The sequence below is a fragment of the Homo sapiens genome, chromosome 5 (assembly GCF_000001405.40).
Source record: "Homo sapiens chromosome 5, GRCh38.p14 Primary Assembly".
In the NCBI taxonomy this organism is placed as follows: Eukaryota; Metazoa; Chordata; class Mammalia; order Primates; family Hominidae; genus Homo; species Homo sapiens.
Window position 1 is genome coordinate 59,316,664 of NC_000005.10, and position 14,534 is coordinate 59,331,197.

At 37.5% G+C, this 14,534-nt stretch overlaps 1 protein-coding gene across 28 annotated transcripts in view, besides 1 other annotated feature; it reads right to left on the bottom strand.

The window, feature by feature from the left end:
• PDE4D (phosphodiesterase 4D) overlaps positions 1–14,534 on the bottom strand; it is a 1,553,091-nt gene that overhangs the window by 347,626 nt on the left and 1,190,931 nt on the right. Inside the window, exon 1 of one of the 28 annotated variants that reach the window (XM_047417298.1) lies at positions 1–14,534. This exon is cut by the window's right edge and continues 25,773 nt beyond it. The exons of the other annotated variants lie outside the window; for them this stretch is intronic. The gene's annotated coding sequence lies outside the window, so the exon portion shown is untranslated. 28 annotated transcript variants of the gene reach the window in all.
• Positions 11,918–13,117: an enhancer, noted in NCBI's record as "BRD4-independent group 4 enhancer chr5:58624407-58625606 (GRCh37/hg19 assembly coordinates)". NCBI's record gives its function as "activates an origin of replication core promoter dependent on BRD2, P300/CBP, MED14 and CDK7 cofactors, and independent of BRD4, by STARR-seq in HCT116 cells {active_cell/tissue: HCT116}" and the evidence as "EXISTENCE:reporter gene assay evidence [ECO:0000049][PMID:35650434]".

Consider the following 14,534-nt stretch of genomic DNA (forward strand, 5'->3'; position numbering starts at 1 on the left):
CCACAGACACAGCTCTATGTAATGAACTCTAGAATGTGGTTAGTGTCAATGTTCCAGTTGTGGACGGAGGAAACAGTTTTCACCAAATGTAGTTGACAATGGCTGTGAAACATGGCACAGTGACTAGAATGAGGTAAACAGATGTCATAATAACCACGGGACACCTGCCTTCTTCACCTCTATGAAAATATTGCTGCCTTACACATGGGCAGAGGTGGAGAAATGAGAAATTCTGTCCTTAGACACTTCACTCCAAAACCTGCCAGGTTCAAGTGCTGCCTTCCTGTCTCAATGGAGAATTTCCAGTTCTACTCTAGGGATGAGGCTGTGGTCTCTCCAGAGGTGGGTCATGGCCTCAGTACTATAGGCAGGCACTACATCCTGCAGCTGTCAATCCAGGCTGATAATTTGAGACCTAGCAGCTGATGACATTCCTTCTCTGCATGGCAGTTGTCTCTAACAGGCCAGTGCACATCTGAGCCAAAGATGACATTTTTGGCATTTGCCTAGACGTTGAGAGCATCCACTGGCTTGGTGGGCACCAGTTGGCAAGAAGGGAAAACCCCAGCCAAGGAAAGTTTTAAGAAGGCCACGTGCTGGCCCTTCAGAAGCAGCTGCATTCATAGTACACACTAGGGGAGGCAAACGTGTGCCTGTGTAATCTGCCTTCTTCACTCAGTGGGAGGGAGGCCAGTTAACAATGATTTCAACTCTTTATTAAAATCAACTAACACATTGCTGCACTTAGATAGTAGTAACCAGGCAGGACACCAGCAGGCTTCCCTAACTGCCTTTTTATTACAAGACCTATTTCAGGCCCATCCCACTTTACATCTCTGCAGCATGACTTCCCAAATTACAGGCATAATAAACTAACAAAGGCCACAACCCCTGCAGGCATACAGAGTCAGATTACGTCTGACTGAATCTGCTTTCTCTATTCATAAACAACTTAAAACAGCTCTTTCCCTCGCGTAAGAACCTGACTTGCCAGGCACACAGTGAACCAGCAGAAGACTACATGAGGACAATGGAGATATGGGTGAGACAAGGGCAGGAGATGCCTTGTTCATAGGAAATGAAAAGCTCTAAAGCCCAAAGAATTTCCCTTAATTTTTTCCACGCAGTTCCCTTGAGGTTATGCAGCTGGATGTTCTCAGAGCTGAGAGTGGACTGGCTTACTATAAACTATTCATTCTACCTTCAGATACTTTCAGGCCCTCTGTTACGATGGTTGACTCAATTGTTCCTCAAACCAAAGCTTATGCATGTCTAAGTTCTCTGATCTTAACCTTTTGAAAGGCAGTAAAATGAAAGACCTTATGAACTTTTGTTTGTCCGTGATCTTACTTCCTCCTTTTAAGATAGTTTTCCTTATGTAAAAGAAGCATGGAGTAATTGACTTTGGACAAGTGACAGAGAAAGGGATGGATTTCTAACTTAACTGTTGGCATATACCTTGAGAATGAATACATAATACACGTTTTAGTATAAGCCACAGATTCCTCTGGTCTGGGTACACTGGAGGCATTTTTATAAATGTAACATGGTTTATTGACAAATTCAGGGAATTGTTTCACATTGGTCTTTTCTGTCATACCAGAGGAAGTTTTAGACTAAAAATAATATTATCCATGTTTTACAGATAAGCAAATTGAGGTGGAGTACAGTTAAAGAGCTTGCTTAGGTCACATAGCTAGGGACAAATCCCTATTAAATGGAAAGGATATGAGACTGAATTAGTTTGCCATGCAGTAATTAAAATCACAAAGTTCTGTACAATCTCCTTGATTTTTAAAAGAAAAAGTTGTCTGTTTCATGAAGGACAGCTACTTACAGAATATATGCAATAGGGTTAAGTTGAAATTGTTTCAAATACACAAAAGAAGCCATTTTTTAAAAAAAGGGTTCTGAAAGGGGTGAAAATATTCTGTTAGTCAACGAAGCAGACCACAATAGTACATTTATAGACAGATTAGAATTTATGGAAAGAGAAAATAAATTAAAAATATGAAAAATGTTAAACATAATTGTGTTACGGTGGTAGAATAATAGGCAAGATTTTTTTTAACTTCTTTTTTCACAATCTCTGGATGCATGCTGTTTTTGTAATTAGCAACTGTGTGTTAAAGAAATAAACTACGTAAGCAGCCCCTTTCTGCACAAGATGGCTGCTATGTTATAGAAGTCTAGTTCAATTTATACACAGGTGAATTTTTCTAATCTTTTATTTTATAAACAACGATTTGGAAAATTCTTTTATCTTAATAAAAAAAAGACCATAGCCCTTCTGTTCATTGCAGGCAGTCTTTAGTTAAGACAATACACACAGGAAAAGGAACAGGTTATCAAACATGAAAGGTATTTAGTTAAAAAATCAAGTCCCTGCTTTCAAAATGCTCATAATCTAAGGAGATTCAAGTTAAGCTCATCATAGAGCTGTGTGCAGTATCCTTAAACTACATGCTAATTTCAAATATGAGAGAGTACATATATATGTGTGTGTGTGTGTGTGTGTGTGTGTGTGTGTGTTTTCCCAAGACCTTTCTCCTTCCCTATTTAAAACAATAACATTTTGTCAAGGGAAAATAAACAAAATAAAATAGTTTGAGGTTGACCCAAAACTCTGAATATTTGAATTCTAATTTGATTCTAAAGTCAGAAAAAAAGTCTACTCTCCTGGTATAATACTTTTAAAGCAAATGGAATCCATCATGCATGAAAAACTAATCTCTGACCTTTAATGGTAATTTTACTGATTGAAAAAAGTTTCAAACACTCAGTTGTGGGAAGGAAACAGACATTTGCTCACAGTCTGCAGACTTTGGCTCAGCTGACAGTAATTTTCCATTGATTGGGAGAAAATCATGGAAATTACATAGCTATGGCTGGCTTTAGACTGGTCTTATGTAAATTTCAACCTTAATTCTGTGTTTATTCTTTTGTGTGAGTGAAATAACAACAGAGTCTCTATAAAAAGATGTTACTAATATATCTGAGGTGACCTATAACTACTATGCATGATATAGTTATGTCTTTTGGATTAACTATATATTTTATGCATTTATAATACTTATACATGCACAGTTAAAATTCTTTTAGGAAAAGCAATAAGGTACTCTGTTCTGAAATTGTTTCTACAAATGCTGCAGTATGAGTTTTTCAATGACTTAAAAATTTCCATATGAGGAGAAGTGTTAGAAATGTATTTTTCCAAATGCAGGTGGGAGGACATCTTCTAAGCCTCAAGCCAGTTCTACAGGAACCAAGACAAACACCGAAAAGTGAAATAAGATTAAGTCTCTGCACCATTTCTAAAGCAGTGAAGCAAAACTACCTTCAAGGGTCAGTGGAGAAGACACCCAGTCCACAGCCATAGATGCTAGGATAGTCTTGGTCACATCCCCAGCCATACCTTATTGAGTCTTGGTGGTTGACCCTGAGCTCTCATGTTCTAGAGTTCCATAATAGCCAGGCTTCCAAATGCAAAAAGTGTGTGTGTGTGCACGCGCATGCATGTGCGTGTGCAGGTGTGTTTAGGCAAATTCACTTAATAAAAATGGGATGCTGATAAGGTGAGAAAAACACTAGCCAGACAGCCTAAATGAACAGTAAAACACTTAGAATCGTGCCTAACTTAGAATAGTGCCTGGCACTTAGTCTGGAAACACAGGCTATACATAATATCAGGAAGGACATCTTCGGTCCGTTAAGATATATAATAACTATGTTTTCAGACTTTATAGAACCCTGTATTTTCATAGGTATAAGTTACCATTTATGAGAAACCCATACACAGGAGGAAAATAAAGTGAACAATTTTAATCATAACAACTTACTGAGTTTTAACTTCAAAGCGTGTACTTATATTTATACTTATTTGATGTAATTCATTACCCATATTTTGTCAGCAGCAACTTGTAAAAACTTTAAATGAACTACTATATTGTCAATCATTGCTTTAAAATCTCAAAATCATTTCATGAATACAGCACATTAATATATGACAAGATTGAAAAAAGTTATATAAAATCTGATTGAGGGCATAATTTGTTAATAACTCTAGGCTTTTAAAAATTGTGAACTTAGAGCACCGCTATTTCCCTTTCAAATCTCCCTCTCTCACCTCCTTTCCTCCTCTACTCCTTCTTTTCTTTTCTTCCTTCTTTCCTTCTCATTATTCACCAACGAACCCACCAACCAATCAGCAACAATTATTTGTTGAAGCTTTTTGTTGTTTTCTCATTAAGATAAACCAATTAAGTAATCTATTTTTTCTATTGATAAATTTGTTTATAGAAAATAATTTTAAAGTATTCAATTTCTAAAGTCGGTTGCTCTAAAGACCCATCCTTGGAGAAATCCAATGATTTCCTGCACTTAACACTGGGATGAAACACAGGGCCCAGGGACATTCATATTAAACTTGAACTGACTCCATCTGTACTTTGTTCAGTCTGTTTATTGTGCTTCTATTGAGTTTTCATTCTCTCAGTCTGATTTCCTTTCTGCTCCTGTTCCACCAACATGGCACCCTGAGGGCTTTTCTCCATACATCAGACATGTTACCTGGCCTATGTCTTTCCCTCGCTCCCTGAGATGGCATTCTTGGAACCTGGCATTGAACAGGGCCTTCCTCCTATAATGTGTAATGATAATCCTCCAATCTACTGCCCTGCCTAGACAAGATTTTTATGCTTAGGGTTGGAATCAAGTTTTTCAAGCACAACCCCTGTGACAGCTAATATTTAAGGGTCTCAGCAGAATTTAATTTGTAAAGAACTAAATATAAATATACTTCTTAAATCTGGCATCTTGCTCATCTTCTTGCCTTTGTGTTCTCCCTGTTCTTTTTTCCTTTCTTTCAAATTATCTCCTGCAACATTAAGAAAAGTGTGGAATGGAAAAGTAGTCATAAAAAGAAAGCTAGAGTTTGGCTCTGAAATGTCTATGAGATGGTGTGAAAAGGCGCCTCAGGACTGAACTGTGCCTGGAAAGGCAACTTTTTCTTCACTATATGCAGCCTTCCTGAGTCACTGGTCACTGCTAGCAGCACAGAAGCCACAGAATGAAAGGAGAGCAAGTGCTGAGTGTAATATGGGAATTATAGAGAAACAGGGAGTGAGTTCTTCTGTTGTACTGTATGACCATGTCACCGGTCCCTCTTAAAAGATAATCTAAAAATAGAGTACACGCATGCGCACTTGTGCACACACACTATAAGGTCTGCTCAAGTACTAGGATTATTTGGGCTTGAGGATTTTTGGATTGATTGAATACAACTTTATTTATGTATCCTTGATTCAGGAATAAAAAAATGGCTAAAATCTTTTGCTACATAGCAATTAGAGATTTAGGGATAACATAATCTGAGGATGTCTTCAAGTCTCAGATATGTAACTTAGCTGTGCAATCTTAGGAAAATTATGCCTCTTTCATGGGCCACATAAATTCTCAGGACTAATTAAGACACACTATTGGCACAATAACCAGCAAAATGCCTTAGTTTGGTTTTTATAAGTGTGCTGGATTTTTGGAAGAAGTCCAATAACTACATACTAAGGAAAATAGTTCAATCATTTTTTATTGCTTTAGTTCTTATCATTCACTCAGTATTGCTGGTGATTGAGGGAACATAAACCTCTAGAGGAATGAACTGATACCACTGCATGAGACCAAAGGCAACTAATCATGAAATGAGACAGTCCTGAAGTAACTGGTTCTGATTCTGACCAAGCAACCCAATGAGTAGTTTATGGGCTCATGTCATCCCTTTGAAAAGCACAAATAAAGAGCAAAGAAAGGAGGTCACACAAATGGAGGTTACTCTCCTGAGTTTGTCAAGAAGCTCATTGGGCACTCCATAGTTGGGAACACTGGTATTCTAGAATCTTTATGGCTTATGGGTCAAATCCAATGCTATCTATATTTACATTATGTTTTAGGCATTGCAGCATATATTCACCATCCTTTTCTTCCTCATGCTCTCCTCCCTCAGTGATATTGGGTTTAGTCACATTATGTGCTGTGGCTAACAGAATGTGGGCACAAATGATACTGCTTTATAAACTGAGGCCTTACAAAGTATTGAACATTTCTACTTGCCACATTGGGAGTTGTAAACTGTGCCACAAGGACACGCCCTGGGAGATCACTGGTCCAAGAAGGAGAAACATGAAGAACAAGCATGAAGGCAACCTGCAGCCTGAAGCAGCACTATTCTGACCCATTAGTAGGACTATGAGCAAGAAGCAAATGTCATTGGTATTTTGTAGTTGATTGTTCGGTAGCATTACTGTAGCAATAGCTGACTAATGCACCTTGCAATAATAGATCAACACAGAAAATGTGAATTTTGTTTTTCTCTTGGAATCTCAACAGTTCTGACTAATTCAACTAATCCCTAACCTTTCTATTTTATTTTGCCTATTCAAGCTTGCTAGCAATCTAGACTGTTATCATTCCTTAAATATGCTTCATGTAGTGTACAGTGCCTCCACCCTCGACAATTCCCATCTGTCTAATCTTTTTATGCAAGATTCAACTAAAATTTTTTTCTTTCATGAAGAACATCAGATTCTCCCACTAATTCTTTCTGAGAGAGAGGCAATTTCTTCTTTAAGCTCTTTTATCTCTCTCTCTTGCTTTATTGATGACCATCTGTGATAAATTATAGTACCCCTAGTATTGTTCTATACCACTTATTGGTTAATATATCCCTTGGCATTTGAAAATGCTTTAAGGACTGGAATACTTCTCTTGAATTTCATACAGAATAAGCCCTTCATTAGTTACAATTTAAATTAATTCACTCCCCTTGCCCCCAGTCTGCTTCTTCTTTGGATATCCTAACTCAGTAAATGTCATTCCCATCCTCCTAGTTGTCCAAGCCAGAAATGTGAGTGATTATTAATCCCTATTTCTCTTACCTATTAACCAAGTCCTGTTTAGTCAAAACCCCTAAACATCAATCAAACCTATTCACCTCTCTCCAGCCCCACTGACATTATCTTAAAGCCCTTCACCACTCTTTCCTGGAATATTGTAATTGATTCTCACATGTTCTACCTACTTTTGGTCTTGAAGATTTGCAATCCAATTTCCCACAGCAGCCAAAGACATTTTTTTTTTGAAGTGCATATTTAATTATGTCATTTGCTGCTTAAAATATTTCACTGGCTCCCCACTGCAGCAGAATAAAGTAGAAATTTCTATGTGACTTATCAGATCTTTTATGATCTACAGTTTACCTCTATAGCCCTATTTCTGACTGACTCCCCAACTTATGCTCTATACCTTAGGCCAACTAATTTTTCTGCATCTCCCCAAACCTACCACATTTTATCTTATTCCCAGTCATTTGCACATGATACTGTGTCTACCTGATACCCTCTCTCTCCTTCCACCACCCTTTCCTTGGCTATCTCCTCTTGAGCTTTATATCTCAGATCAGATAACATTTTCATTAAAAGCCCACTCTGGCATTCCTCTCTCCCTCTTGCTCAAGCAAGCATGGCCAGGGGCCCTTCTTGCGTGTTCCTACAGCATCCTGCATTTACATGTTTCCCTGTAGCACTTATGATACTATAGTTTCTGATTTACTTGTAGTTGACTCTATGGGTAGCCTACCCAAGAGCCATTCCTTCCTACTAGGCCCCCAGTGAAATTCAAATATCCACCTACCCTTGCAGCCACATACTTACAGGGAGGTGGGCCTCAGCCCCAGCCACCATGAGGGAAACCTGATTGTCTCAGCTAATCATGAAAGTACGATTTCCAAGGCAGTGATTTGTTAAGACATCGGCATGTGAAACCATTTTGGCCAATAAGACATTGAAGGGAAGTGGGACAAGGGGAGACCATCTGGAAATGATTTTTTTTCTTTCTTAAAAGAAGACGTAAAAAGAAGATCCTCTTTTCTGACTGGCCATAGTTATCTGCATGTAATAGGTGGACCTGTGACAGACATCTCGAGTTTACAGGAACAAACCAGAAAACTCACCAACACTTGAGGCTGGCAGAAGAGAAAGATGAAAAAGACTCAGGCCGCCTTTGATAATGTCACTGAGTGACTTGGAGCCTCCCACCTCAGGATGGCTTTGGTTTAAGCCAGTTAAGTTACAACTTTCTGGCAGTTACAGCTGCAAGCATTCTCACTGACTGACACATGTCTATCTTCCTCACTGTACTGATTATTAATGAGAATTTATGCTTGGAGATGGAACTGCAAAGGAACTAAGAACTAAAGAAAACATCTTAGAAGGCTGCATGGCATCATGGTAATTAATAGGGAAAACTTTATTAATGTGGCATCATATAGAGAATCAGAATCAGCTTTTGAGGAAAAGGATGTAGAAGTCTTCTGATTTATTTTCTGGGCCAGAGAATAAAATGGAACAGTAATAGCCTTTTGAAAAGCTAGGTTTAAGATGATCACAGAAATCCTACTGTACCAAATTCAGAAGCCTCTAGAAAAGTGACCTAATTCAGTTTCTGCTGTGCTCTGCCCCTTGCTGTTCACTTTCCTATCTCAGCTCTGGTTTTACTTCAAAAGCTCAGGAACTTAAAAGGGGGAAACCTAACAACATATTTACCTAAACTCTGATCAAAGATCCAAGAAAAGGTCAAGGTGATAGCTGAACCCACAATTATATTAACCTTTTGTGGAAACATTGAACAATGCAGTAGTATCTTTGCTTCTGCAGAATATCTTGTTAGAAACAGGAATTTCAAGAATAGCCAGAAAGATAAATCTTCTTGCTACCTACGTTTTTACGCTTTAAATAGTAAATGCATAGCAAAAGGACCTACACAGTAGTGTATTAAACAGTGACACCTTTGTATTTATCAATAACAGAACTCTCAATATTCATAAGGAAATGTAAGATAATATGGATAACCAAGATTATTGCTTGAGCATATTCTTTAAAAATTGGCAGACAGTTCAAGCTCCTATAGTGCTGCAAATGGAACTTATTGTATACTTATAGTTACTTGTAAAATGAGATAATTCGTATAAGGTAGAAGTTACCCCTCCCTTGAAAGTTTGGTAGAACTTGTATGTAGAATTATTTGAGCCAGTACTATTGACAGTCTGCTTATTCACTAATTTCTATGTGTGGAGGGGTAGGGGTGTCTAAAATTGTAACTATTGATGCAATCTGTCAAATTGTATAGGTCTACTCTAGATTTTTTTTTTAAATGTGTTGAGTCACAATGATAAACTAGATTAAGAAAATGTGGCACATATACACCATGGAATGCTATGCAGCCATAAAAAATGATGAGTTCATGTCCTTTGTAGGGACATGGATGAAGCTGGAAACTATCATTCTCAGCAAACTATCGCAAGGACAGAAAACCAAACACCGCATGTTCTCACTCATAGGTGGGAATTGAACAATGAGAACACATGGACACAGGAAGGGGAACATCACACACCGGGGACTGTTGTGGGGTGGGAGGAGGGGGAAGGGATAGCATTAGGAGATATACCTAATGCTAGATGACGAGTTAATGGGTGCAGCACACCAATATGGCACATGTATACATATGTAACAAACCTGCACGTTGTGCACATGTACCCTAAAACTTAAAGTATAATAATAAAAAAAAGAAAAAAAATGTGTTGAGTCAGTTTGTTTCATTTTTGTACTTTTGTGTTACAATCAAACTTAAAAATATAACCCATGGTAAAAATACTGCAGCTTTAAAAATACATTATTATTTTTCCCTCTCTGTGATTCTGGAGCCATATAGTCTATAGAGTAGCCCCCCCCAAGACACATATAACTATTAAATACTTAAAATATGGCTAGTCCAAATTGAGATGTGTCAAAAATATAATACACACTCTGGATTTTGAAGACTTAGTATGAAAAAAATAATTTCACTGACTTTTAAACTTTTAAAAATCTGGCTATTAATAAAAATCTAAAATTGTATATGGGGTGTGCATTATATTTCCACTGGGTAGCACTGTTCTAAAGCATTCAACAGCTCTCCTCACATTATGCCCTGCACTACAGACATTGACATATGTGTAATCTCTAAAACACATGTTACAATGAAAAAAAGCATATTATTTCGAAATAGATGTGTGATCTTGCTTGGAAAAGACACATAACTTTCTTGCATTTCCATTGCTTCATCTTTAAAGTAAAAGGGCTGCATAAGATGATTCCTAAATTCCTTTCCAATTCGCATATATTTAATGACTTCATCATTTCCCCAATAGATTCCAAAGCCAGAGAATACAATTCATGTAATAGCTCATTTCAGTTTGATAAATATTTCTGAAGCATTTGTCATGTGCCAGGTCCTGTGAGAGGAGGTAATTTTACACCTAACCATCTTCCACCTTTTTTTAGCACTATTCTTTATTCTTGGCAACTCTTTGAGAAATATCTATGGAATGAATGGACACATTATTATTCTGCTGTCTCATATGTTAATACAGAAACAGAAATACACACACACACACACACACACACACACACACACACACTCCAGACTGGCTGTGAATGAAATACCAAAAAAAAAAAAAATTAAATTGAGTTGTGATTCTTTAGCAGAAACTCAAGTGCCCATATAACTGAATGGTCTCTGGATCTGGTAGCTAAAAGTGCTTTACTCTTTCTGAAAAATGGAAAATGCATTATAAGTCTAAGTAAAGAGCACTCCAATTTTAGCTGCCTTGGCCCCTTCTGAGGCTTTCCTGGGTCAATAATTAGCAACAGAGCCCAGGAGACTGGGGGAAGGAACAGGATGATGAACAAGTGCAAATGAGCTACCTTAAGAAAGCGATAGCACAAAGCATGAGAGCACTCAGAATTGTACTGCAAAGTGTTCAGATTAGGCAGGCCCAAAAATGAAAAAATTGAAAATTAATAAACCAGAACCTAGCTGTATGCACTGACTTAATGAGATCCGTTGTTAATGTAACACATTTTTGCCTACTACTTTTGTGAAGACTTCTTAAATTATTTTAAATATTTCTCAAGAAATGCCTCTCCAATTTTACTGGGGTTCTTAACGTTCTTCTCAATTTTCTTTCCAAAAGCATAAGGGAGAGAAATGAAAAGATGATTTGAAATACTAGAAAGAATGTAGGACTAAGAGCCAGGAAATTTGGTTTCTAGTCACAGAACTGCTACAAACTGGTGATATGGAGTTGAACAAATTGTTTAGTCTTCTTTGGTCCATTTCTTCGTCTGAAAAATGAGGATAAAGCTCTGTATATTCTAGAGGTGGATAAGGGGGATCAAATGAGATAATGGTAAGAAAAATTACATTTACAAGATACAAATGTTCTATAAGTGTATTTTATACAAAATTATCAGAGAAGTCTCTTATGAGCTAAAATATGATAATAGCACATGTGGTCCAAGATCCAAAAGTGAAGACTAAGAAGAAAAATATATAACAAAAATTATATCCTTTTATTAGAAATAGCACAATATCCATTAAACTAACCTTTAAAAGCACAGGGAGCAGTGGTTAATTATATAGACTCTGAAGACAGACTAGTGGAATTTGAGGTCTGACACTGCCATTTACTAGCTGTGTGATTTGGGGCCTCTCACTTCACCTTGTGTACTGCAGTTTTCACATCTGTAAAAAGGGGGTAATAATACTACATCCCTCCTATGTTTGTTGTGAGGATTAAAGCACTTCACATATATGAAACACTGGCACAATGTAGGTATTATATAAGTATAGCTGTTATATGGGAGTACATTCTAGAATGCTTTAAACTCTAGGCACACTTCCTAGCTAGCATTTGATTTATCTTGTTTGAAAAACAGCCTGTATTTAACATATACATATCAGAGGTTGGAAGTGTCACAAGTGTATGTTGGGAGAACAAAGAAAAGCAACTTCAGTACACAATCCACAAAATAATAGCCTCGATGGACTCTACACTTCAGAGGGCTAAATTAGATGGTGAAACCAAGTACACTCATGTAGTGCCTTGGTACATGTGTGGCTTTGTGTTTTTACATTTTCCTCAGGTACTGAAATAATGACTAAAAACACCCTGTATTTGCATTGCATTTAAAAAAATCACTTTCACATATATTACCTCATTAGAAGTTGAGGGTCATTAAAAGTGGACAATGAACTTGCTTTCACCCTCACAAATCTCTCTGAGGAATCAAGTCAATTGAATACGTGTACTTGAGAAAAAAGGTGGGCTTTTTGCCAAATACTTTCTGGCAGCTCATAAGCCTGAGCTTTTCATCTGAGCCAACTGCAAGCCTGGAAGGGTCCAGAAAAGCGACTCATCTGCTCAGCAGACCTCACTGCCCCTTTGTTGTGGTGGGCACGGTGCCTTTCACACACAGCTGTTGGTCAGTATGTGGATCACCGACTGCATCCTCCTTGCAAGAAGGCCATTTTGGATGTTTCGCTAAGGAATCCAAGAGTGCAAGGCAGAGAGGGGAGGCTGACTAGTTGGGGACTTCCTCCAGGATTTTCCCATAGGCTCCACCCAGTTGCTTCATTCCATTGATGGATTCAAGGGTGATTTTCCATGAGACTACACCTAATGGAAAAGGAAGTCTCGGGCTGTTCTTATCTAATTTGCCAACTGTTACATCAGCATTATTGATTCAGAGCCCCCAAATCAGGGAAATATAGAACAGATGGGAATTCCCTGCAAATGTTTTCATGGAATCATTTGCTAGGAAACCCCCAACTAGCAAAAAGCATAAACATATACCTTTTTATTGAAGCCCTGTAAAATCTAACCAGAATGCTTGCTCCAGGAAGAGTCTGTTCTCAGAAATCATGTTGTCTGATCAAGTTTACTTCTTTTGTCTACTCACTGAAGTCCTTAAATACATTATAAGAGAATATGCTAAACATATGTCAACCTTCAATCAATAAGCATAGTGTAATGTCTAAAGGTCATGATTTGGATTATCACAATACTTTAGGTATCAAAATTTATAAAACTGAGCATATCTATATTATCTGCCAAATGGAACCAGATTATTTTAAAAATTTCTTCATCATCTTGTGTTATTTGAATGTAAAAAACCTGAAGGCAGGCTGTCCTTGTCTACTTATTCAACACTTAGATCAGTGCCTGAAACATAGTAGGTATTCAAAAATATTTATAGAATAAATGAATATCTGAGAAGCTGAGTCATTCTCACCACATTGACATTTTACATTTATCTATAGTCAAAACAGTCTCAAATTTATGAAGGGAAATTAATATTAGCAACATAAAAGTGTTTTCTTTTGCAGATATATGACATTAAATTATAATTGTGCAAAGTCAAAAAGTAATTTACAAATTAATTATGGAGCATTATTAAGTGAGTCAAAGCCATTCTATAAATAAACAATGCAGTACTTTTCTAAAGGTTGTTACTATTATATGTAAGCCCTTGGGATGAAAACTGGGAGTCCTATCTTTAATATGTTCATCACGTTAATTAATGAATGATATAAACAATTCATGCAAACACCTCAGTCAAGCATTACTCTTGGGGATCAGGGGGCTATTTCAGTAACAAGAGTTAAAAGCAGGGAACACAATCTTGGATTTGGTAAACTCATCTAAATTTCTTGATATTCTCCAAAGAGTAGCATTTAAGCAAAACCTGGTACAGAAGTGAAATATATAGTTGAAGCCAACTTTCCCTTGGTAAGGTAACTATGATCCTTTCACATTAGTGAGATCGTTTGGACCCCATCGCTAAACTAGCCCCAGGCAACCTGTTCTTGGTGGCATTCTCCCCACCTCCTCCTGCACAATTCTCTCCTGCAGAGAGAAGGGTAAAAGTCTTCATGCTCTCCCACTCTCCAATGATGCTCATGAAAATTTGTTCTCAGGTAAGATTCTAATCTCACGTATTCACACTCACATACATTCAAATCACCAAGCTACCTTCCCCTGAAGTATCTGACTTACTGGTTTGCCTCTATGTTAAAAGAGAAAACCATTTTTTTTATTTCTCAAAAGAAATTTTAAGACTTAGCTGTCAGGAAAATAATGTCTTTTAGTTTATTTCGTTTTGAGATTAAAGGCCTTTCTCTGACATTGAAATTTCATATGTAGACTAAATTGAACAATTTGGTTATGTTGTTTCAGCTACTTACAAGAAACTACACAACTCATTGGCTGGTTGTCTCGCTGTGGCACTTCTCTGTTTATGTTGCCATGGCTTCCTCGACAGCCTCATTCCTGCCTTCGTGTCTGACACACATTTCTGACATCGTGATGGATGCCTCTACCCTGAGCACCAGCACCTCCTCAAGGGAAACGCAGCCTCAACCACACTCATCATTTTCTTTCATCAACCGCCTGTCCTTCTGGATCGCCCAGTTTCCAGTCTTGAGAGCTCCGTTATCACTGACCCTCTGTCTCCTGATCCCATTGTAGTAGTTGATAGTGTCAACTATGTTACACCTATACAATGTTTTCAGAAATGACCTCTTTTTCTATTTTCCCCTCCATGAATTTAGTTTATAATATTATTTCTTAAAATACAAATAATACTTGCTCATTGTAGTTTTTC